This window comes from Homo sapiens, chromosome 4, assembly GCF_000001405.40.
Source record: "Homo sapiens chromosome 4, GRCh38.p14 Primary Assembly".
Taxonomy (NCBI): Eukaryota; Metazoa; Chordata; class Mammalia; order Primates; family Hominidae; genus Homo; species Homo sapiens.
Genome location: NC_000004.12, coordinates 48,704,537 through 48,726,647, shown reverse-complemented (window position 1 = coordinate 48,726,647; position 22,111 = coordinate 48,704,537). Strand labels below are relative to the sequence as shown.

The window sequence follows — 22,111 nt, the reverse complement described above, 5'->3', positions numbered from 1 at the left end:
TGCTGTGGCATGATCTCGGCTCACTGCAACCTCTGCTTCCCGGGTTCAAGCAATTCTCATGCCTCAGCCTCACTAGTAGCTGGGATTACAGGCATACGCCACCATGCCTGGCTAATTTTTGTATTTTTAGTAGAGACAGGGTTTCACCATGTTGGCCAGGCTGGTCTCAAATTCCTGATCTCAAGTGATCCACCCACCTCGGCCTCCCAAAGTGCTGGGATTACAGGCATGAGCCACTGCACCCGCCCGCATCTGTGGAAATTTATAGGTCACTTCTCCTCACATTTCATTGACCAACAGAAGTCACATGACTGTGTCTAACTTCAACAGGGAAAAGGAAAGTAAAATTCTTCATTATGCCCAGAAGGAGAAGGGAAAATGGATAATGTTGTTAATGGCCTCTGTATCTTTATTTTTCTGATTACTTGCTTCGTGTTTTCTTGAAAGTGTCTTGTCATCTCTAACCCTGATTGCAGGTGCTGGTTTGGTAAGCCTGACCACCTCACCACCTACCCCCACAAAAAGAACTTATATCTTAGAAAAGCAAGTAGTTTTGCCTTTCACATCTTTGTTAAGAATTTCAAGGTCATTATCTCTGAAATTCTGAGAATTTCACCAGTCCTCTGTATTTGCCAATTCGTGTCATAAGATTGGTGATTTTTTTTCCTATATAGTAGTTTCCCCTTATCCTCAGTAGATGTGTTCCAAGACCCCAGTGGAAGCCTGAAACCTCAGATAGTGCCAAATCCTATGTATACTATGTTTTTTTCCCATACATACATACCTCTGATAAAGTTTAATTCCTAAATAAGGCGCAGTAAGAGATTAACAACAATAGTTAATAAGATAGAACAATTATAACAATATGCCAGCATCACTACTCTTGTGCTTTGGGACCATTGTTAAGTAAAATAAAGATTACTTGAACACAAGCACTGTGATACTGCGAGAGTGGATCTGATAACTGAGACTGCTCCTAAGTGACTAGCGGGTGGGTAGCATAGACAGTGTGGATGTGGACACACTGGACAAAGGGATAATTCATGTCCCGGGTGGGCAGGATGGAGCAGGACAGCGTGACATTTCATCACGCTACTGAGAATGATGTGCTATTTAAAACTTATGAATTGTTTATTTCTGAAATTTTCCATTTAATATTGTCGACTGAGGTTAACTGAAACCTTGAAAAATGAAACCTGGATAAGGGGATACGGTTGTACACTTTATTTAGTGTTGATAAATAGCACAGGCTGTATCAGAGCTTGACACGAGATTGTATTCTCTCTTTCTCTCAGAGGATAGACAGAGTCTGTTGAAGATTGCAGTTGGTATTTAGTGCAGAGAATTTGATGGAGGGGAGCAATTAAGTGTGGGCCATTTTCTTCTGGGCCTCACCTTAGTGGAGTAGACTGGCAGGCAGGCTCTTGGAGTGGATGGAGCACAGCAGATATGGCCGATGTAAGGGCAGATTGATTCTCTTTTGTCTCATGTCAAAATACCTTTGTGAAAATTCAGAAGTTTCAGATGAAGGGTGAGACCCCTTTCTAATTTCTGATGATGCTTGAATTTTCTCTTTTATATTGATTTAATCATCTTGAGGGATAATGGAACAGGGAGCTAAGTCAAATGTGTATTCTTAGGTTATCATCTGAATATTGCTTCTCCTTTTAAGCTTGTTTGGATAAAGTTTGATTCCAGTATTTAACAGGAATAAAAACAGTTTCAAATTTGTTATTTTTTGGAGACATTAGGTTCCATCTCAACATGGATGTAAAATAAGATATTCAAATATATTGGATTTATGTGCTGAAGGCAACAAGTTTCCCTCCCTTTCTCTATTATTCTACCCTACTCTAAAGTCCTCTAAAGGCAGCACGATGGAAATTTATGAAGTTGTTAATACGCATTTTATTGAATAAACTGTTTGAAAGTATGCATATTGGTGTTTTTCTTTGATTCTTGTCATTTATTATCAGGGGCACCGTTTGTTTAATCAACAAATGTTTATTGAGTTCCTGTGACCCAGGAGATGATGTTGGGGATTGTAAATATCCACAAGACAGCCCCCCCGCACCCAACTCCTGGAGCTTGCTTTTTAGTCGGGTAGACAAACAGTAAACAAATATTGGATGATAAACTCTATGATGAGAAATTAAGTTTGCTTAGAGAGTGATGGTGTCCGTTATTTTAGATAGGGTATGTGGGAAGTCCTCTTTGGAGGGTAGTATTTGCAATGATCTGAACAAAGGGAGGGAGCAAGCCATGCCCAGGGGAAAAGCTTTCCAGGCAGAGGGGTTAGCAAGCACACAGGCCCAACATGGAAATAGACTTGAGTTTGAGGGATAGCAGGAAAACTAGTGTGGCTGGAATAGGGGAAAGGAAAAGTCAGAGATGTTTGGCCATGGACTTTTTCCCCTGTCTTTTATGTAAAACTAGTGGAGGACTTTGAGTATTGGTGGAGTGAATACATTTATATTCCATTTATTTTTAAATTTTAATTTTAATTTCAATTTATTTTTTGAGATGGGGTCTTGCTCTGTCTCCCAGGCTGGATTACAGTGGCAGGATCATGGCTTACTAACGTCTGGACCTCCTGGGCTCAAGCAGCCCTCCTGTCTCAACCTCCCAAGTAGCTGGGATTACAGGTGTGTGCCACCACACCCACCTAATTTTTTTTGTTATTATTATTATTATTATTATTATTATTTTATTTATTTTTTTTTTTGTAGAGTTGGGGTCTTACTATATTGCCTGGGCTGGTCTCAAACTCCTGGGTTCAAACAGTCCTCCTGTCTTGGCCTCCCAAAGTATTGTGATTACAGGTGTGAGCTACCATGCCTGGCTATATTTTTAAAAGATCATTCTGGTTACTATGTGGAGAAATGAGAAATGAGGAGATGCAGGAGTATCATCAGCTAAGAGTCTCCTTGAATTGTTTGGGCAGAGATAATGGTGATTCTGTCTAGAGTAGCAGCAGTGGATTTGGAGATAAATGGTCTGAGTTAGGATATACAGTATTTTGAAAATAGGGTTGACAGAACTTGTTGTTGGATTAGATGTGGGGATGTGAAGGAAAGAAAGGAAATACATGTGACTGCTAGGTTTTTGGCATTAGCAACTAAAATAAGGATGGTATTATTTAGTAAGGAGTTTAGTAAGGAGCAAGACTGGGAGCAGGCAAAGATTTTGGTATATTAAGAGTTAAGGCTGGGAACAGTGGCTCATGGCTGTAATCCCAGCACTCTGGGAGGCTGAGCTGGGTGGATTGCTTGAGGCCAGGCATTCGAGACCAGCCTGGGCAACATGGTGAGACTCTGTCTCTACTAAAAATACAAAAATTAGCCAGGCATGGTGCCATATGCCTTTAGTTGCAGCTACTCAGGAGGCTAAGGTGGGAGGATCGCTTGAGCCCAGGAGGTCGAGGCTGCAGTGAGCTGTGATCACACCACTGCACTCCAGCCTGGGTGACAAAGCAAGATCCTGTCTCAAAAACAAAACAAAACAAACAAAAAAAAACCTGTTAGGTTTGAGGTCCTTTAGACAAAACAAAACAAACAAAAAAAAACCTGTTAGGTTTGAGGTCCTTTAGATGTCCAGGAGGATAGTTGAATTTGCTGATGGCATGATCCCTTAGGAGGAGAGAAAAAAAGATGTGAGATTTTTGTCACCGTGAAACTGATATTCTCAGTTTAAAAAGGTAATATTAAGAGAGAATTGGTGTAAGCTGGAAGTATTTCCTACTCCACTGTCCTCAGTGAGCCATTATAATTTTCTTTTATTTTTCTCCTTTTGGCTTGCTTAGTCTTATTGTGTATCATGATGATTTTTATCTTTCACATTTCTGGTAAATGGTGATTATTAGGAAGTTGAACCAATTGTGTATAAAAAATGTAAAAGACATTTAACAAGGAATGTGCTTCCCAAGGCCCATTGTTTACCACAAAAAGGAAACCACTGACTTTTTGTTACATCAGTGAAGATAACATTATTTTGTGAACACAGTACTCCTTTTATTACTAACGTTTTTTGTACTGTGATCAGAAGAAATTATGAAAACAATAAGTTAATGGGAAATGTAGACATGTTACAAGTGAGGATTTATTCAGTGAAAGCCCTTAGAAATCCTGATTTCTCATCATAACATTTCAGATTTCTCTAATTGTAGAGGTAGTTGCTATTAATATAAATTATGGAAAAATATAGCTTGAGAAAGTCAGTAGTGTGTATTCAGTCATTAATTTCTTGGGTTTTAATAAAACGTTTTAACAAATGTTAACAGAAAATGTAGCAATGCATGGTAGTAGGAATATTCACTTTTATTCTGAAGCAGAGGAAGGAAATCTGTATTTTGGTAAATATAGTTACTATTCTAGTGAGCATATATTTATGGTGTAAGTAGACTATCACAACTTAGTATCTGCTTCCCATTGTTAATTCACCCTTAGTAGTAAAGTCCTCAGGCACTACCCTTGATCTTAGCCAGAAGGCAGAGAACAATTCCTCGGGTAAAGTTTGATTAAAAACAACAAAAATTCATAGAAGACAAGGATATAATAATAGAATTTGGGCTCACTGGAGACCAAGGAATTTTATCTTCTACGCTTTACCCAACTTCCCACTCCAAAAACCAGAACAAAAACCCATCTAAATGTATCTTTGGCCATAAAAAAGCCTCCCCATTTCTGAGCATCTAAGAAACGTACATATGGGCTGGGTGCAGTGGCTCACACCTGTAATCCCAGCACTTTGGGAGGCCGAAGCAGGTGGATCACCTAAGGTCAGGAGTTCAAGACCAGCCTGGCCAACATGGTGAAACCTCATCTGTACTAAAACACATAAATTAGCCGGGTGTGGTGGCGGGTGCCTGTAATTCCAGCTACTCAGGAGGCTGAGACAGGGAGAATTGCTTGAACCAGGGAGGCAGAAGTTGCAGTGAGCCATGATCGCGCCACAGCACTCCAGCCTGGGCGACAGAGTGAGACTCCATCTCAAGTGTATGTATGGAAGCAAGAATCTCAGAACAGCTAGAGATGATAAGATGTTCAAGTTTTAAGCTGTGTATATCATAGACACAATTTTGTTGTAAAAATGTGACCCTTCCACTAGTGTAATGACTTCCACCTTTTATTTTTTAATTTATTTTACTTCTTATAGAGATGGGGTCTCCCTATGTTGCCAGGCTGGTCTCAAACTCTTGGGCTTAAGTGATCCTGCCTTGGCCTCCCAAAGTACTAGGATTACAGGTGTGAGCCACCATGCCCAGCCAATCTCAACCATTAAAAAAAAAAAAAAATCTACATATAGTGTGCACATGTGGCACATTTTCCTTATAACATTACTTGTTTTGTACTTCCCCATTCCTGCCCCTCCACTCTCTACCTCTCTGATTCTGGGCTGGTTAGAGGATACAATGGCCATAGGTGTTTACGTTCTAGTTAGGGAGAAAGGTAATAAGGAATTAAATAAGTATATAAAACCAAGCATATGTTAGATAGTGATGAGTTCTATAATGAAAACAAAATGGAAATAGGATAGTGACATGGGAGGCCTACTTGCTATTATTGTATATTCTTCTGGACCTTTTTCTCGTTTGTCAGTTGGGAATGATAATCATCTACCTCCTTAGAGCTGTTTGGACTTAATAAGTTCTGTGTGAAATGCACCTAGCAGAGTAACTGGCAACATACCTAATTATCAAGTACTGCTATTTTCCCTTTCCCTTTCTTTCTGTAATTTGAGTGTTCCAAATCTATGGTGTAGTGCCATAGAATCTATCTTAGCTAGAGTATGTTTAAACTGTGTCCCTGTGTGGTTTTGGAGTTCTTACGGAAACAGTAAATAACAACATAGATGAATCTTGAGGACATCACGCTTAGTGAAATAAACCAGTTACAAAAGAACAAATATTGTCTGATTTTACTTACATAAGGTACCTAGAGTAGTCAGGCCCATAGAGACAGAAAATAGAATGGTGACTGTCAGGTTGTGACAGAGAGAATGGGTTGACTGTAATGGGTATAGAGTTTCAGTTTTGTAAGATGAAAAGAGTTCTGGAGGTGGATGGTGGTGATGGTTGCCCAACAGTGTGAATGTATTTAATGTACACCTTTTTTAAATTTTAATTTTATTTATTTATTTATTTTATTTTTTGAGATGGAGTCTTGCTCTGTTGCCCAGGCCTGGAGTGAAGTGGCGTGATCTCAGCTCACTGCAACCTCCACCTCCCGGGTTCAAGCAGTTCTCCTGCCTCAGCCTTCTGAGTAGCTGGGATTACAGGTGCATGCCACCATGCCTGATTAATTTTTTGTATTTTTAGTAGAGACCGGGTTTTGTCATGTTGGCCAGGCTAGTCTTGAACTCCTGACCTCATGATCTCCCCACCTCGGCCTCGCAAAGTGCTGGGATTACAGGCATGAGCCGCCATGCCCAGCCTTAATGTACATTTTAAAATGGTTAAGATGGTAAATTATATGTATTTTCCTGATTTTTTTTTTTTTTTGAGATGGAGTCTCTCTTTGTCACCAGGCTGGAGTGCAGTGGCACAATCTTGGCTCACTCCAATCTCCACCTCCTAGGTTCAAGCCATTCTCCTGCCTCAGCCTCCCAAGTAGCTGGGATTACAGGTGCACGCCACCACACCCAGCTAATTTTTGTATTTTTAGTAGGGATAGGGTTTCACCATGTTGGCCAGGATGGTCTCGATCTCCGGACCTCGTGATCCACTCACCTCAGCCTCCCAAAGTGCTGGGATTACAGGCGTGAGCCACCACACCCGGCCTTTAGTGCAATTTTTTAAAAAGTCAGTGATAAAATTATTACCTTGCTCCACTCTTCCCATTTTGGTAGATATCAGTGAATCAAGTTGTTCCTGACAAAATCAGGAAATAGAGGGTGGTTGTTCTTGCATCATGAATCTATGTGAGAGTCCCACAAAATGAAAACGTTATTAGGAATTTTTATCATCTTAACTTCCAGAGGTGTCAAACCTTAAACAGTTGATTGGTGAGCAAAGAGCACAGTGTGGCTGGAAAAGATATTTCTGTTGTTTTGTTTTGTCAATTTATAATATATTTATTGGGCACTTAATTGTCTTTAGTGAACAAGAGTAATAACATTTGTTGAGTATTATCTACCAGCAATTATTCTAAGTTTATGCTTAACAATACTTGATACTAATAATGGTTTGTCATCTTTATATAGCAGCCTTGAAGGTGTTATTCTCATTTTATAGTTGAGAAACGTGAGGCTCTGAGTGGTAAGTGACTTTCTACTTTAAAAATGATTTTAGAGGAATTTCAATACATAGAAACGAAGGGAGGGCATTCCACATGGAATAAAGCATGCGTTAGATCTGTGTGTAGGAAGGCATGGGATACATTTGCACAGAGCAAAGAGTTCAGCCTGACTGAAGTCTGGATAACATTCAGGAGATGGGCTGGCAGTTTAGTCTCTTCCATTAGAATCTTGATGAGGTTAATGAATTCCTGAACTGTTTTCTGTAGGCACTGGGAGACACCATTGAATTACCAAGCCTGGGGGTTTTGTGATCAGAGTTATGCGCTAGGAAGCAATATCTGAGATGCATTGGAGTAGTGAGAGAGGGGAGGCCAAAGATCAGTTAGAGTGACCACTCGGAATTCTTTTGCAGTCATTAGAAAGTAGTTGGGGTCAGAGTGCAAATGGCTGATAGTTCAGGAGTAAGTTGAGAGGTGAGAAGGGAGAAGCACAAATGTAAGTGGAAATGAAGTGGAAGGGAGGAGTCTATGGAGCATGAGTGTAAGTAATACTTTTTTTGTGTGTTGGGGGAGCATAATGGTCACCTGAATAGGTAGGTCAGATGTAGGATTAGCTTTGAAAAGGGAGGATTCTGAGAGATATGTGAAAAAAAATGCTTCACACATAGAGCCTATGAGCACAAGAAGGAGGGACTTTAGCAGTCTTGAATTTGAAGGGTTGACATTGGGCAACCTTTTTCAGTTTAAGCAGTTGAAGGTGTCTGTAGAGAGTATGGGACTGTAGTGGGCCTGGGGACTTGAAGAGTAGACAAGTCTCAACCTCTGTAAGAGAGAATTCAAATTTAATAGGGTCAATTTTCACACTTTAGAGTGTGACATGGAATAATAGTAGTGTACTTATGTTCATCTTTTATACAACTAACGTATAGAGTAGAAGTTCTCTTAAACAATATTGGCTATATAATATACCTGCAGTTGGGTTGGCTAAATAGAATATTTGTTTAAAATGAGAAAGAAAGATACATACCTTAAATATTTATACGTGTATGAATGCTTATATTTCACCAGTCTTTTGATGTATAGCCAAGACATTTTCTTTAAAATGTTTTTAAAGTGGCTTGCCTTAATTAAATTACATGATTTAATGTTTAGAGACAAAGCATTTTGTTTTTGCACTCATTTTTGATGTAATATGCAACTAAACTATGTAATTATAGTAAATACAACAGACATAAACTGATTTTAGAATAAACACAATTTACTCTAGGATGCAACTCTGTTATTGGGATAAAAATAAGATGGTGTACCAGAGAGGACTCCCCTTTCCCCTACAAGGAAATTGAAGCTCAGAACTTGTTGCTTGTCTACGGTTTTAGGATTGCCAGTAATCTGGTTTTATCACTGAATTCAATGCTTTTCTCATTATATGGAGTTATAAGGTGATGTAGAATAATATGTCAGATATTGGTTAGTAGTTAGGAAGTTATAGACTGTAGTTTTTAAAAAGTAGCAGCTTTATTGAGATATAATTCACATGCCGTGCAAGTCACCAATTGAAAATGTACAACTTAAGGCCATGCGTGATAGCTCATGCCTGAAATCCCAGTACTTTGGAATGTGAGGGAGGAGGAACACTTGAGGCCAGGAAATAGAGACTGGTCTGGGCAACACAACAAGACCCCATCTCTACAAAAAATTAAAAAAATTAGTCAGACATGGTGGCATGCTCCTGCACTTCTAGGTACCCTGGAGGCTGAGGCAGGAGGATTGCTTGAACACAGGAGTTTGAGGCTGCAGTGAGCTATAATTGCGTCATTGCACTCCAGCCTAGGTGACAGAGTCAAACCCCTTTTCAAATAAATAAAGTGTACAATTAGAGCCTTTTTTATATTCACAGAATTGCAAAACCATTACTATAATAGATTTTGAGAACATTTTCATCACCCTCTGAAAGAAACCCTGTACCCATTAATAGTCACCACCTATCTTTTGTCTCCTGGCCCTAGGCAACCACTTACGTGGTTTCTCTTTGTTAGATTTGTCTATTATGGACATTTCATATAAATGGAATCATATACTACGTGGCCTTTTGTGAGTGGCTTCTTTCAGTTAGCATAATGTTTTTTTGTTTTTTTTTATTATTATACTTTAAGTTTTAGGGTACATGTGCACAATGTGCAGGTTAGTTACATATGTATACATGTGCCATGCTGGTGCACTGCACCCACTAACTCGTCATCTACCATTAGGTATATCTTCCAGTGCTATCCCTCCCCCCTCCCCCCACCCCACAACAGTCCCCAGAGTGTGATGTTCCCCTTCCTGTGTCCATATGTTCTCGTTGTTCAATTCCCACCTAAGAGTGAGAATATGTGGTGTTTGGTTTTTTGTTCTTGCGATAGTTTACTGAGAATGATGATTTCCAATTTCATCCATGTCCCTACAAAGGACATGAACTCATCCTTTTTTATGGCTGCATAGTATTCCATGGTGTATATGTGCCACATTTTCTTAATCCAGTCTATCATTGTTGGACATTTGGGTTGGTTCCAAGTCTTTGCTATTGTGAATAGTGCCACAATAAACATACATGTGCATGTGTCTTCATAGCAGCTTGATTTATAGTCCTTTGGGTATATACCCAGTAATGGTATGGCCAGGTCAAATGGTATTTCTAGTTCTAGACCCCTGAGAAATCGCCACACTGACTTCCACAATGGTTGAACAAGTTTACAGACCCACCAACAGTGTAAAAGTGTTCCGATTTCTCCACATCCTCTCCAGCACCTGTTGTTTCCTGACTTTTTAATGATTGCCATTCTAACTGGTGTGAGATGATATCTCATTGTGGTTTTTGCATTTCTCTGATGGCCAGTGATGGTGAGCATTTTTTCGTGTGTTTTTTGGCTGCATAAATGTCCTCTTTTGAGAAGTGTCTGTTCATGTCCTTCGCCCACTTTCTGACGGGGTTGTTTGTTTTTTTCTTGTAAATTTGTTGGAGTTCATTGTAGATTCTGGATATTAGCCCTTTGTCAGATGAGTAGGTTGCGAAAATTTTCTCCCATTTTGTGGGTTGCCTGTTCACTCTGATGGTAGTTTCTTTTGCTGTGCAGAAGCTCTTTAGTTTAATTAGATCCCATTTGTCAATTTTGGCTTTTGTTGCCATTGCTTTTGGTGTTTTAGGCATGAAGTCCTTGCCCATGCCTATGTCCTGAATGGTAATGCCTAGGTTTTCTTCTAGGGTTTTTACGGTTTTAGGTCTAACGTTTAAGTCTTTAATCCATCTTGAATTGATTTTTGTATAAGGTGTAAGGAAGGGATCCAGATTCTGCTTTTTACATATGGCTAGCCAGTTTTCCCAGCACCATTTATTAAATAGGGAATCCTTTCCCCATTGCTTGTTTTTCTCAGGTTTGTCAAAGATCAGATAGTTGTAGATATGCGGCATTATTTCTGAGGGCTCTGTTCTGTTCCATTGGTCTATATCTCTGTTTTGGTACCAGTACCATGCTGTTTTGGTTACTGTAGCCTTGTAGTATAGTTTGAAGTCAGGAAGTATGATGCCTCCAGCTTTGTTCTTTCAGCTTAGGATTGACTTGGCGATGCGGGCTCTTTTTTGGTTCCATATGAACTTTAAAGTAGTTTTTTTCCAATTCTGTGAAGAAAGTCATTGCTAGCTTGATGGGGATGGCATTGAATGTATAAATTACCTTGGGCAGTATGGCCATTTTCACGATATTGATTCTTCCTACCCATGAGCATGGAATGTTCTTCCATTTGTTTGTATCCTCTTTTATTTCATTGAGCAGTGGTTTGTAGTTCTCCTTGAAGAGGTCCTTCACATCCCTTGTAAGTTGGATTCCTAGGTATTTTATTCTCTTTGAAGCAATTGTGAATGGGAGTTCACTCATGATTTGGCTCTCTGTTTGTCTGTTATTGGTGTATAAGAATGCTTGTGATTTTTGTACATTGATTTTGTATCCTGAGACTTTGCTGAATTTGCTTGTCACCTTGAGGAGATTTTGGGCTGAGACGATGGGGTTTTCTAGATATACAATCGTGTCATCTGCAAACAGGGACAATTTGACTCCCTCTTTTCCTAATTGAATACCCTTTATTTCCTTCTCCTGCCTGATTGCCCTGGCCAGAACTTCCAACACTATGTTGAATAGGAGTGGTGAGAGAGGGCATCCCTGTCTTGTGCCAGTTTTCAAAGGGAATGCTTCCAGTTTTTGCCCATTCAGTATGATATGGGCTGTGGGTTTGTCATAGATAGCTCTTATTATTTTGAGATACGTCCCATCAATACCTAATTTATTGAGAGTTTTTAGCATGAAGGGTTATTGAATTTAGTCAAAGGCCTGTTCTGCATCTATTGAGATAATCATGTGGTTTTTGTCTTTGGTTCTGTTTTTATGCTGGATTACATTTATTGATTTGCATATATTGAACCAGCCTTGCATCCCAGGGATGAAGCCCACTTGATCATGGTGGATAAGCTTTTTGATGTGCTGCTGGATTCGGTTTGCCAGTATTTTATTGAGGATTTTTGCATCAATGTTCATCAAGGATATTGGTCTAAAATTCTCTTTTTTGGTTGTGTCTCTGCCCGGCTTTGGTATCAGGATGATGCTGGTCTCATAAAATGAGTTAGGGAGGATTCCCTCTTTTTCTATTGATTGGAATAGTTTCAGAAGGAATGGTACCAGTTCCTCCTTGTACCTCTGGTAGAATTCGGCTTTGAATCCATCTGGTCCTGGACTCTTTTTGGTTGGTAAGCTATTGATTATTGCCACAATTTCAGCTCCTGTTATTGGTCTATTCAGAGATTCAACTTCTTCCTGGTTTAGTCTTGGGAGGGTGTATGTGTCGAGGAATTTATCCATTTCTTCTAGATTTTCTAGTTTATTTGCATAGAGGTGTTTGTAGTATTCTCTGATGGTAGTTTGTATTTCTGTGGGATCGGTGGTGATATCCCCTTTATCATTTTTTATTGTGTCTATTTGATTCTTCTCTCTTTTTTTCTTTATTAGTCTTGCTAGCGGTCTATCAATTTTGTTGATCCTTTCAAAAAACCGGCTCCTGGATTCATTAATTTTTTTAAGGGTTTTTTGTGTCTCTATTTCCTTCAGTTCTGCTCTGATTTTAGTTATTTCTTGCCTTCTGCTAGCTTTTGGATGTGTTTGCTCTTGCTTTTCTAGTTCTTTTAATTGTGATGTTAGGGTGTCAATTTTGAATCTTTCCTGCTTTCTCTTGTGGGCATTTAGTGCTGTAAATTTCCCTCTACACACTGCTTTAAATGTGTCCCAGAGATTCTGGTATGTTGTGTCTTTGTTCTCGTTGATTTCAAAGAACATCTTTATTTCTGCCTTCATTTTGTTATGTACCCAGTAGTCGTTCAGGAGCAGGTTGTTCAGTTTCCATGTAGTTGAGCGGTTTTGAGTGAGTTTCTTAATCCTGAGTTCTAGTTTGATTGCACTGTGGTCTGAGAGATAGTTTGTTATAATTTCTGTTCTTTTCCATTTGCTGAGAAGAGCTTTACTTCCAACTATGTGGTTAATTTTGGAATAGATGTGGTGTGGTGCTGAAAAAAATGTATATTCTGTTGATTTGGGGTGGAGAGTTCTGTCGATGTCTATTAGGTCTGCTTGGTGTAGAGCTGAGTTCAATTCCTGGGTTTCCTTGTTAACTTTCTATCTCATTGATCTGTTTAATGTTGACAGTGGGGTGTTAAAGTCTCCCATTATTAATGTGTGGGAGTCTAAGTCTCTTTGTAGGTCACTCAGGACTTGCTTTATGAATCTGGGTGCTCCTGTATTGGGTGCATATCTATTTAGGATAGTTAGCTCTTCTTGTTGAATTGATCCCTTTACCGTTATGTAATGGCCTTCTTTGTCTCTTTTGATCTTTTTTGGTTTAAAGTCTGTATTATCAGAGACTAGGATTGCAACCGCTGCCTTTTTTTGTTTTCCATTTGCTTGGTAGATCTTCCTCCATCCCTTTATTTTGAGCCTATGTGTGTCTCTGCACGTGAGATGGGTTTCCTGAATACAGCACACTGATGGGTCGTGACTCTTTATGCAATTTGCCAGTCAGTGTCTTTTAATTGGATCATTTAGTCCATTTACATTTAAATGGACTTTATTACATTTAAATTAACTTTATTAACAAATAAAGTTAATAGTGTTATGTGTGAATTTGATCCTGTCATTATGATGTTAGCTGGTTATTTTGCTTGTTAGTTGATGCAGTTTCTTCCTAGTCTCGATGGTCTTTACATTTTGGCATGATTTTGCAGCGGCTGGTACCGGTCGTTCCTTTCCATGTTTAGTGTTTCCTTCAGGAGCTCTTCTAGGGCAGGCCTGGTGGTGACAGAATCTCTCAGCATTTGCTTGTCTGTAAAGTATTTTATTTCTCCTTCACTTATGAAGCTTAGTTTGGCTGGATATGAAATTCTGGGTTGAAAATTCTTTTCTTTAAAAATGTTGAATATTGGCCCCCACTCTCTTCTGGCTTGTAGAGTTTCTGCTGAGAGATCCGCTGTTAGTCTGATGGGCTTCCCTTTGTGGGTAACCCGACCTTTGTCTCTGGCTGCCCTTAACATTTTTTCCTTCATTTCAACTTTGGTGAATCTGACAATTATGTGTCTTGGAGTTGTCTTGGAGTTGCTCTTCTCGAGGAGTATCTTTGTGGTGTTCTCTGCATTTCCTGAATCTGAATGTTGGCCTGCCTTGCTAGATTGGGGAGGTTCTCCTGGACAATATCCTGCAGAGTGTTTTCCAACTTGATTCCATTCTCCCCATCACTTTCAGGTACACCAATCAGACGTAGATTTGGTCTTTTCACACAGTACCATATTTCTTGGAGGCTTTGTTCATTTCTTTTTATTCTTTTTTCTCTAAACTTCCCTTCTCGCTTCATTTCTTTCATTTCATCTTCCATCGCTGATACCCTTTCTTCCAGTTGATCGCATCGGCTCTTGAGGCTTCTGCATTCTTCATGTAGTTCTCGAGCCTTGGCTTTCAGCTCCATCGGCTCCTTTAAGCACTTCTCTGTATTGGTTATTCTAGTTATACATTCCTCTAAATTTTTTTCAAAGTTTTTAACTTCTTTGCCTTTGGTTTGAATTTCCTCCTGTATCTCGGAGTAGTTTGATCGTCTGAAGCCTTCTTCTCTCAACTCGTCAAAGTCATTCTCTGCCCAGCTTTGTTCCATTGCTGGTGAGGAACTGCGTTCCGTTGGAGGAGGAGAGGTGCCCTGCTTTTTAGAGTTTCCAGTTTTTCTGCTCTGTTTTTTCCCCATCTTTGTGGTTTTATCTACTTTTGGTCTTTGATGATGGTGATGCACAGATGGGTTTTTGGTGTGGATGTCCTTTCTGTTTGTTAGTTTTCCTTCTAACAGACAGGACCCTCAGCTGCAGGTCTGTTGGAGTTTGCTAAAGGTCCACTCCAGACCCTGTTTGCCTGGGTATTAGCAGCGGTGTTTGCAGAGCAGCGGTTTTTCGTGAACCGCAAATGCTGCTGTCTGATCGTTCCTCTGGAAGTTTTGTCTCAGAGGAGTACCCGGCCGTGTGAGGTGTCAGTCTGCCCCTACTGGGCAGTGCCTCCCAGTTAGACTGCTCGGGGGGTCAGGGGTCAGGGACCCACTTGAGGAGGCAGTCTGCCCATTCTCAGATCTCCAGCTGCATGCTGGGAGAACCACTGCTCTCTTCAAAGCTGTCAGACAGGGACATTTAAGTCTGCAGAGGTTACTGCTGTCTTTTTGTTTGTCTGTGCCCTGCCCCCAGAGGTGGAGTCTACAGAGGCAGGCAGGCCTCCTTGAGCTGTGGTGGGCTCCACCCAGTTCGAGCTTCCCGGCTGCTTTGTTTACCTAAGCAAGCCTGGGCAATGGTGGGCGCCCCTCCCCTAGCCTCGCTGCCACCTTGCAGTTTGATCTCAGACTGCTGTGCTAGCAATCAGTGAGACTCCGTGGTCGTAGGACCCTCTGAGCCATGTGCAGGATATAATCTCCTGGTGCGCCGTTTTTTAAGCCCGTTGGAAAAGCGCAGTATTTGAGTGGGAGTGACCTGATTTTCCAGGTGCCATCTGTCACCCCTTTCTTTGATTAGGAAAGGGAACTCCCTGACCCCTTGCGCTTCCCGAGTGAGGCAATGCCTCATCCTGCTTCGGCTCGCGCACGGTGCGCTGCACCCACTGACCTGCGCCCACTGTCTGGCACTCCTAGTGAGATGAACCCAGTACCTCAGATGGAAATGCAGAAATCACCCGTCTTCTGTGTCGCTCCCGCTGGGAGCTGTAGACCGGAGCTGTTCCTATTCGGCCATCTTGGCTCCTCCCCCCAGCATAATGTTTTTTTTAGGATTCATCCATGTTGTAGCATGTATCAGTACTTTATTCCTTTTCATGGCAAGGTAATATTCCATTGTGGGTATACCACATTTTATTTATCTGTTCATCAATTGATGACATTTAGGTTGTTTCTGCCTTTTGACCATTACAAATAATGCTGCTATGAACATTTGTATACATATTTTTGTGTGGGTATGTTTTCATTTCTCTGGAGTATATACCTGGGTGTGGAATTACTGGATGATGTTTCACCTTTGAGGAACTTGCAGACTTTTGATTAGTGATATACGGAAGCTGCTAAAATGTTAACATGTTGTAAGCATGGCTGTTAGTGATGACCATATTTCCTATTTTTTAATCTTCCAGCCTAGAACATTCCATATTCTGCTTCACACACGGTGACTCACTCACTACTGCTTTGTACCAGTGTGCCCACTCGAGTGCCTGTAAAGTACAAGCTCCAGATCAAAAAAGCTTCTAGATGGATCCTTTCCAAACTTGGTGTCTTTTCTACAAACTCTGTGCCTCAACAACCATTTCTAAGTGGTAAGGACATGTATATTTCCTCTTTTCTAGGCCTTCTTTCCTTTTTTATATATGAGTTAATACCTGCACTTTTTGCTGATTTTTCTAAATCAAATCTAAAAGTGGCAAAAACATCAGATTTTTCAAGACCTCAAAACATTTTTTACATATTACATTCTGTGCACAGAACATGCATGTTTATGAAGAATATAAACACATGTGAACAACTATGCCTGTGCACTTTATGTGCCTTATTTGTACTCTATAGTCCCTTATTGTAAGGCTGAGATAGTTTATCTTGTTACTGTCTTACCTATTTAGGGATTTTCAGCCCATTTGTTGAAGAATATCCTCCTACTTCCTGGCAATTGTAAATTATGTATACATTCATGGAAATGATAAGAGAGGTGTGCAATGCCAGCTCTTCTTTTTATAGCATAGCACTATGTGTGCCTTTTCATATTCTGACTTTTTTTTGGAAGCATAGATGTCAGTTAGCCAACAAGTTTTCTAGGCAACTCTGATATTTACTCAGAACACATAGGGGTAGTGAGGGAAGAGTAAAATTGAGCAGAAATGGGAGACCTTTAAAAGAAAATGATTAAAATAGGTTCATTTTGAGCCAGTCGACCAATGCCTACTGTTTAAGAATGAAAATATATAATGACATTTAGCATAATAGAGAAGTAAGTTACCAAATGGAAAATGTGGTATTAGATAAAGATGAAAGGCAGATAGAGTGAAAATTGGGGTACATTTTAGCTCTAGTTCTAATCATTAATTGCATAGTTTTCTAGAATGCCAGTTAATTAGCCTTGGTAGACGCAGTTTTCTCGTCTGAAATGGGTGAATTAGACTAAATGATTGGTAAGGATTTTTGGTGGTTTCATAATCCCAACACTTTATGAACTATAATGAACAAATTGATAGATTTTTGGTTTTTTTTGAGGCTATGTTTTCTTCCCTAACCTATCTGATAGAGATACTTTAGATCTATTTTTGTTGAATTGTGGGGCAAGAATAAGATCTCCACTGTCAGAACATTTTTCAGTTAATCTTTCTGTTTTGAAGTTGGTGTCTTTCTTTTATTCTCTTTCTTTCCACATTCTTATCCTTCTCTCCTACTGACCTTGAGGACTTTCCTTCATTTCACTCAGACCGTCTCTTTCTGTCCACTCCAATATCATATTAGTGGCTCTCATTATGCTTCCTTAACGTGTCTAGCATCCATTATTTTCATGTTAGCAATTTTCCAGGGTCACTACATCTTAGATCAGTGATTCTAATTCTGGGACCCTTTATAAAAACACAGATACCTAGGGCTGGGTGCGGTGGCTCATGCCTGTAATCCCAGCACTTTGGGAAGCCGAGGCGGGCAGATCACGAGGTCAGGAGATCGAAACCATCCTGGCTAACACGGTGAAACCCAGTCTCTACTAAAAATACAAAAAATTAGCCAGGCGTGGTGGCGGGCGCTGTAGTTCCAGCTACTCGGGAGGCTGAGGCAGGAGAATGGCGTGAACCCAGGAGGCGGAGCTTACAGTGAGCCGAGATCGCGCCACCGCATCCAGCCTGGGAGACAGAGTGAGACTCCATCTCAAAAAAAAAAACAAAAAACAAAAAAAAAAACACACGATACCTTTTGAAGCTAAGTGTGATGGCTCATGCCTGTATTCCCAGTGCTTTGGGAGGCCCAGGTGGGAGGATGACCTGAGGCCAAGAGTTTGAGACCAGCCTGGGCAACACAGCAAGACCCCATCTCTACAGAAAATTTAAAAATCAACCAAGTGTGATAGTTGCACACCTTTAGTCCCAGATACTTGGGAGGGTAAGGTGGGAGGATTACTTGAGCCCAAGAGGTTGAGGTTGCAGTGAGCTATGATTGCGCCACTGCATTCCAGCCAGGGTGAATGGATTGTTTATAATCTTTTGCTAATATAAATGGTATAATATAAATGCATAACCTTGCGGATATATACATCTTTTTATATCTTGCCACTGTGTTTGGGACAGGTTCTTAGAAGTGGAATTGCAGGGCCCAAGGGTAAATGAGTACGCAGTGTTTGTTTGTTTGTTTAAGATAGTCTCACTGTCACCCAGGCTGGAGTGCAGTGGCATGATCTCGGCTCACTGCAACTTCCACCTCCCAGGTTCAAGCAATTCTTGTGCCTCAGCCACCCGAGTAGCTGGGATGACAGGTGTGTGCTACCATGCCTGGCTAATTTTATTTTTATTTATTTATTTATTTATTTATTTTTTTGAGACGGAGTCTCGCTCTTGTTGTCCAGGCTGGAGTGCAGTGGCTCAATCTCGGCTTACTGCAACCTCCGCCTCCTGGGTTCAAGCGATTCTCCTGCCTCAGCCTCCTGAGTAGCTGGGATTACAGGTGCCTACCACCCTGTCTCTTAAAAAGAAATACAGGCCAGGTGTGGTGGCTCACACCTGTAATCCCAGCACTTTGGGAGGCCGAGGCAGGCTGATCACGAGGTCAGAAGATCGAGATCATCCTGGCTAACACAGTGAAACCCCCTCTCTACTAAAAATGCAAAAAATTAGCCGGGTGTGGTGGCACGTGCCTATAGTCCGAGCTACTGGGGAGGCTGAGGCAGGAGAATCAATTGAACCCAGGAGGCGGAGGTTGTAGTGAGCCAAGATTGCACCACTGCACTCCAGCCTGGGAGACAGAGCAAGACTCCATCTCAAAAAAAAAAAAGAAAAAGAAATACAGATACTTTTTGAAACAAATTTGGGAGAAGGGTGTGATTCTTTGGCAGGTAGCTAAAGTCAGCATTAGTTCACCAGAACTGGAGCCTCAAAGTTCTCTTACTTCTCACTTCAATCACTTCTTGCCTTAGACCTCATTATTACCTGGAACAGTTTCTTTTCTAAGGTCTTGGAAAGAGGATCTTCTTTTTATTTCAGGATTTTTTTTTTCTAGTGTCTGTAAAATAAACTTTTTGTCTTATTTATTTAAAGTTTTTATTATGGAAAATGAGAAACATATGCAGAAGTAAACAGACTGGTGTAACCAATTGCTTTGTATTCAGACTCAGATTCAGTAATTATCAAGTCATGCCCAAATTGTTTAGCTATTCCCCACCAACTTTTCTCTCACTCCTGTGTTATTTTAAAGCAAATTCTAGACATCATGTATCTTATTTATAAGTATTTCAGGATGTATCCTTAAGACCTTTTAAAAAAGTAATGATAAAATTGCTATGAACACTCTTGTACATATCTTTGGGCAGATCTGTGTACTTTTTTTCCTTGGGTATATACTCAGAAATAGAATTTGCACTTCTGCACATTCATATTATAAAAAAATCATGATGCAAATAAAAATAATTAAAAAATGAAAAAGAATTTGCAATATTGTTTTGGACTTAGCACATTCTCTTAGCAATGTTTAGTCAAATTACTATATATATTATTATCTATTACTGTGTAACAAACTACCCTGAAACTTAGTGGCTTAACACAGTGACATTATTGTCTCATGGTTGCTGTGAGTCAGTTTCTTTGGGGTGCAGCTTAGCTGGGTGCTTTTGGCTCAGAGTCTCTCATAAAGCAGCAATCCAAGTATCTTCTGGGGCTGCAATCATCCCACAACTCAAGTAAAAGAGGCACAAAGGAACAGCCTTCTGGGGGTGCTTTCAAGCTCACTCATGTGATTATTAACAGGTCTCAGGTTCTTTCTGGCTGTTGGCCAGAGGCCAATTCCTTGACCCTTCCATAGGGCAGCTAACAACATGGGCAGCTGGTTGTTAGTTCAGAGCAAGGGAGAGAGGGCATCCAAGATGGAAACCAAGCTCTTTCTGTAACTTATTCTTAGAGTGGGAGCCCATCACACTTGCTGCATCCTTTTAAAAAAATTATTGTGCTAAAGTGTGCATAATGTAAACTTAACATTTTAACTATTTTAAGTGTACAATTCAGTGGCATTACATACATTCACATTGTTGTGCAATTATCACTATCATGCATCTCCAGAACTTTCTCATCTTTACAAAATGAAACTCTATACCCATTAAATAACTCCCCATCGTCTTCTTTGCCCAGCCCCTGACAACCACCATTCTACTTTCCCAAGAGTTTGACCCCTCTAGGTACCTCATAAGTGGAATCATGCAGTTACAGTATTTATCCTTTTGTGACTGGCTTTTTTCACCCAGGATAATGTCTTCAAGGTCATTCATGTTATAGTACGTGTTAGAATTTCATTCTTTTTTAAGGCTGAATAATATTCCATTGTATTTACATACCACATTTTATCCATCCATCAACTGATATTTGAGTTCTTTGCACATTTTGGCTGTTGTGAATAATGATGCTAGGAACAAGGTATTCAGCTGAATTCTATTCCTAGAATCAAGTCTTTCAATTCAGTCTACACTAAAAGGGAGGTGAGGCCAGGCGCAGTGGCTCATGCCTATAATTCCAGCAGTTTGGGAGATTGAGGCAGGTCACCTGAGGTCAGAAGTTTGAGACCAGCCTGTCCAACATGGTGAAACCCTGTCTCTACTAAAAATACAAAAATTAGCCAGGAGTGGTGGCGTGTGCCTGTAGTTCCAGCTACTCAGGAGGCTGAGGCAGGAGAATCGCTTGAACCCAGGAGGTAGAGGTTGCAGTAAACTGAGGTCACACCACTGCTTTCCAGCCTGGGCGACAGAGTGACACTCTGTGTCAAAAAAAAAAGGAGGTGAATAGTGAATACTTAAGGGTGTGAATACCAGGAAGTATGGTCATAGGGGCTGCTCTCAGAAATACTATACTGTTTAAGTTAGTCTTAATAATTGTTCTCTGTATAGTTATGCCACCAACTGGATATACAATTAAGTTCATTATCTTTCATATTTAATAACTGTTCTAAAATGTAACTTTGTTTTATAATCATGTATAATAGTTTTATGGTTCCAAAGTCAAATTCTGTTTTCTTCTCCGTATAAGTACTCATATTCTAGAAACTTTGTTTTTTTTTTTTTAAGAAAAATATAAGCAAGCTATATATTCATATGTCTCCTTATATAAATGATAGGATACCATATACTTTGTTTTTTGTTTTTTTTTTTTACTTGTTATATTCTGGGGATCACTCCTTAGTGGTGTATTACTGATTTCTTTTTATAGCTATATAATAACCCATTGGGTGAATGTGCCATAGTTTATTTAACCAGTTCCCAATTGATGGGGACTTGGATTGTTTATAATCTTTTGCTATATATATATAGCAAGATATATACCAATATATATAATGGTATATTATAGTGGTATAATATACCATTATAAATGGTATAATATAAATGCATAACCTTGCGGATATATAAATCTTTTTATATCTTTCCACTGTGTTTGGGGCAGGTTCTTAGAAGTGGAATTGCAGGGCCAAAGGGTAAATGAGAATGCAGTGTTTATTTGTTTGTTTTAAGACAGTCTCACCGTCACCCAGGCTGGAGTGCAGTGGCATGATCTCGGCTCACTGCAACTTCCACCTCCTGGGTTCAAGCAATTCTTGTGCCTCAGCCACCCGAGTAGCTGGGATGACAGGTGTGCGCTACCATGCCTGGCTAATTTTTTTTTTTTTTTTTTTTTTGAGACGGAGTCTCGCTCTTGTTGCCCAGGCTGGAGTGCAGTGGCTCAATCTCGGCTTACTGCAACCTCCGTCTCCTGGGTTCAAGCGATTCTCCTGCCTCAGCCTCCTGAGTAGCTGGGATTACAGGTGCCTGCCACCATGCCCAGCTAATTTTTGTACTTTTAGTAGAGACGGGGTTTTGCCTTGTTGGCCAGGCTGGTCTGGAACTCCTGATCTCAGGTGATCCGCCTGCCTCAGCCTCCCAAAGTGCTGGGATTAAAGGCCTGAGCCACTGCACCCAGCCTGTTTTTTGTATTTTTTAGTAGAGACAGGGTTTTGCCGTGTTGGCCAGTCTGGTCTGGAACTCCTAGCCTCAGGGATCTCCCTGCCTTGGCCTCCCAATGTGCTGGGATTACAGACGTGAGTCACCATGC

At 40.4% G+C, this 22,111-nt stretch overlaps 1 protein-coding gene across 5 annotated transcripts in view; it reads left to right on the top strand.

Moving 5' to 3' along the window:
* Positions 1–22,111, top strand: part of FRYL (FRY like transcription coactivator) — a 282,923-nt gene that overhangs the window by 53,632 nt on the left and 207,180 nt on the right. For 4 of the 5 annotated variants that reach the window (XM_024453993.2, XM_011513683.4, NM_015030.2 and 1 more), the window contains exon 2: positions 15,950–16,129. The exons of the other annotated variant lie outside the window; for it this stretch is intronic. The gene's annotated coding sequence lies outside the window, so the exon portion shown is untranslated. The remainder of the gene's footprint in view (positions 1–15,949; positions 16,130–22,111) is intronic. 5 annotated transcript variants of the gene reach the window in all.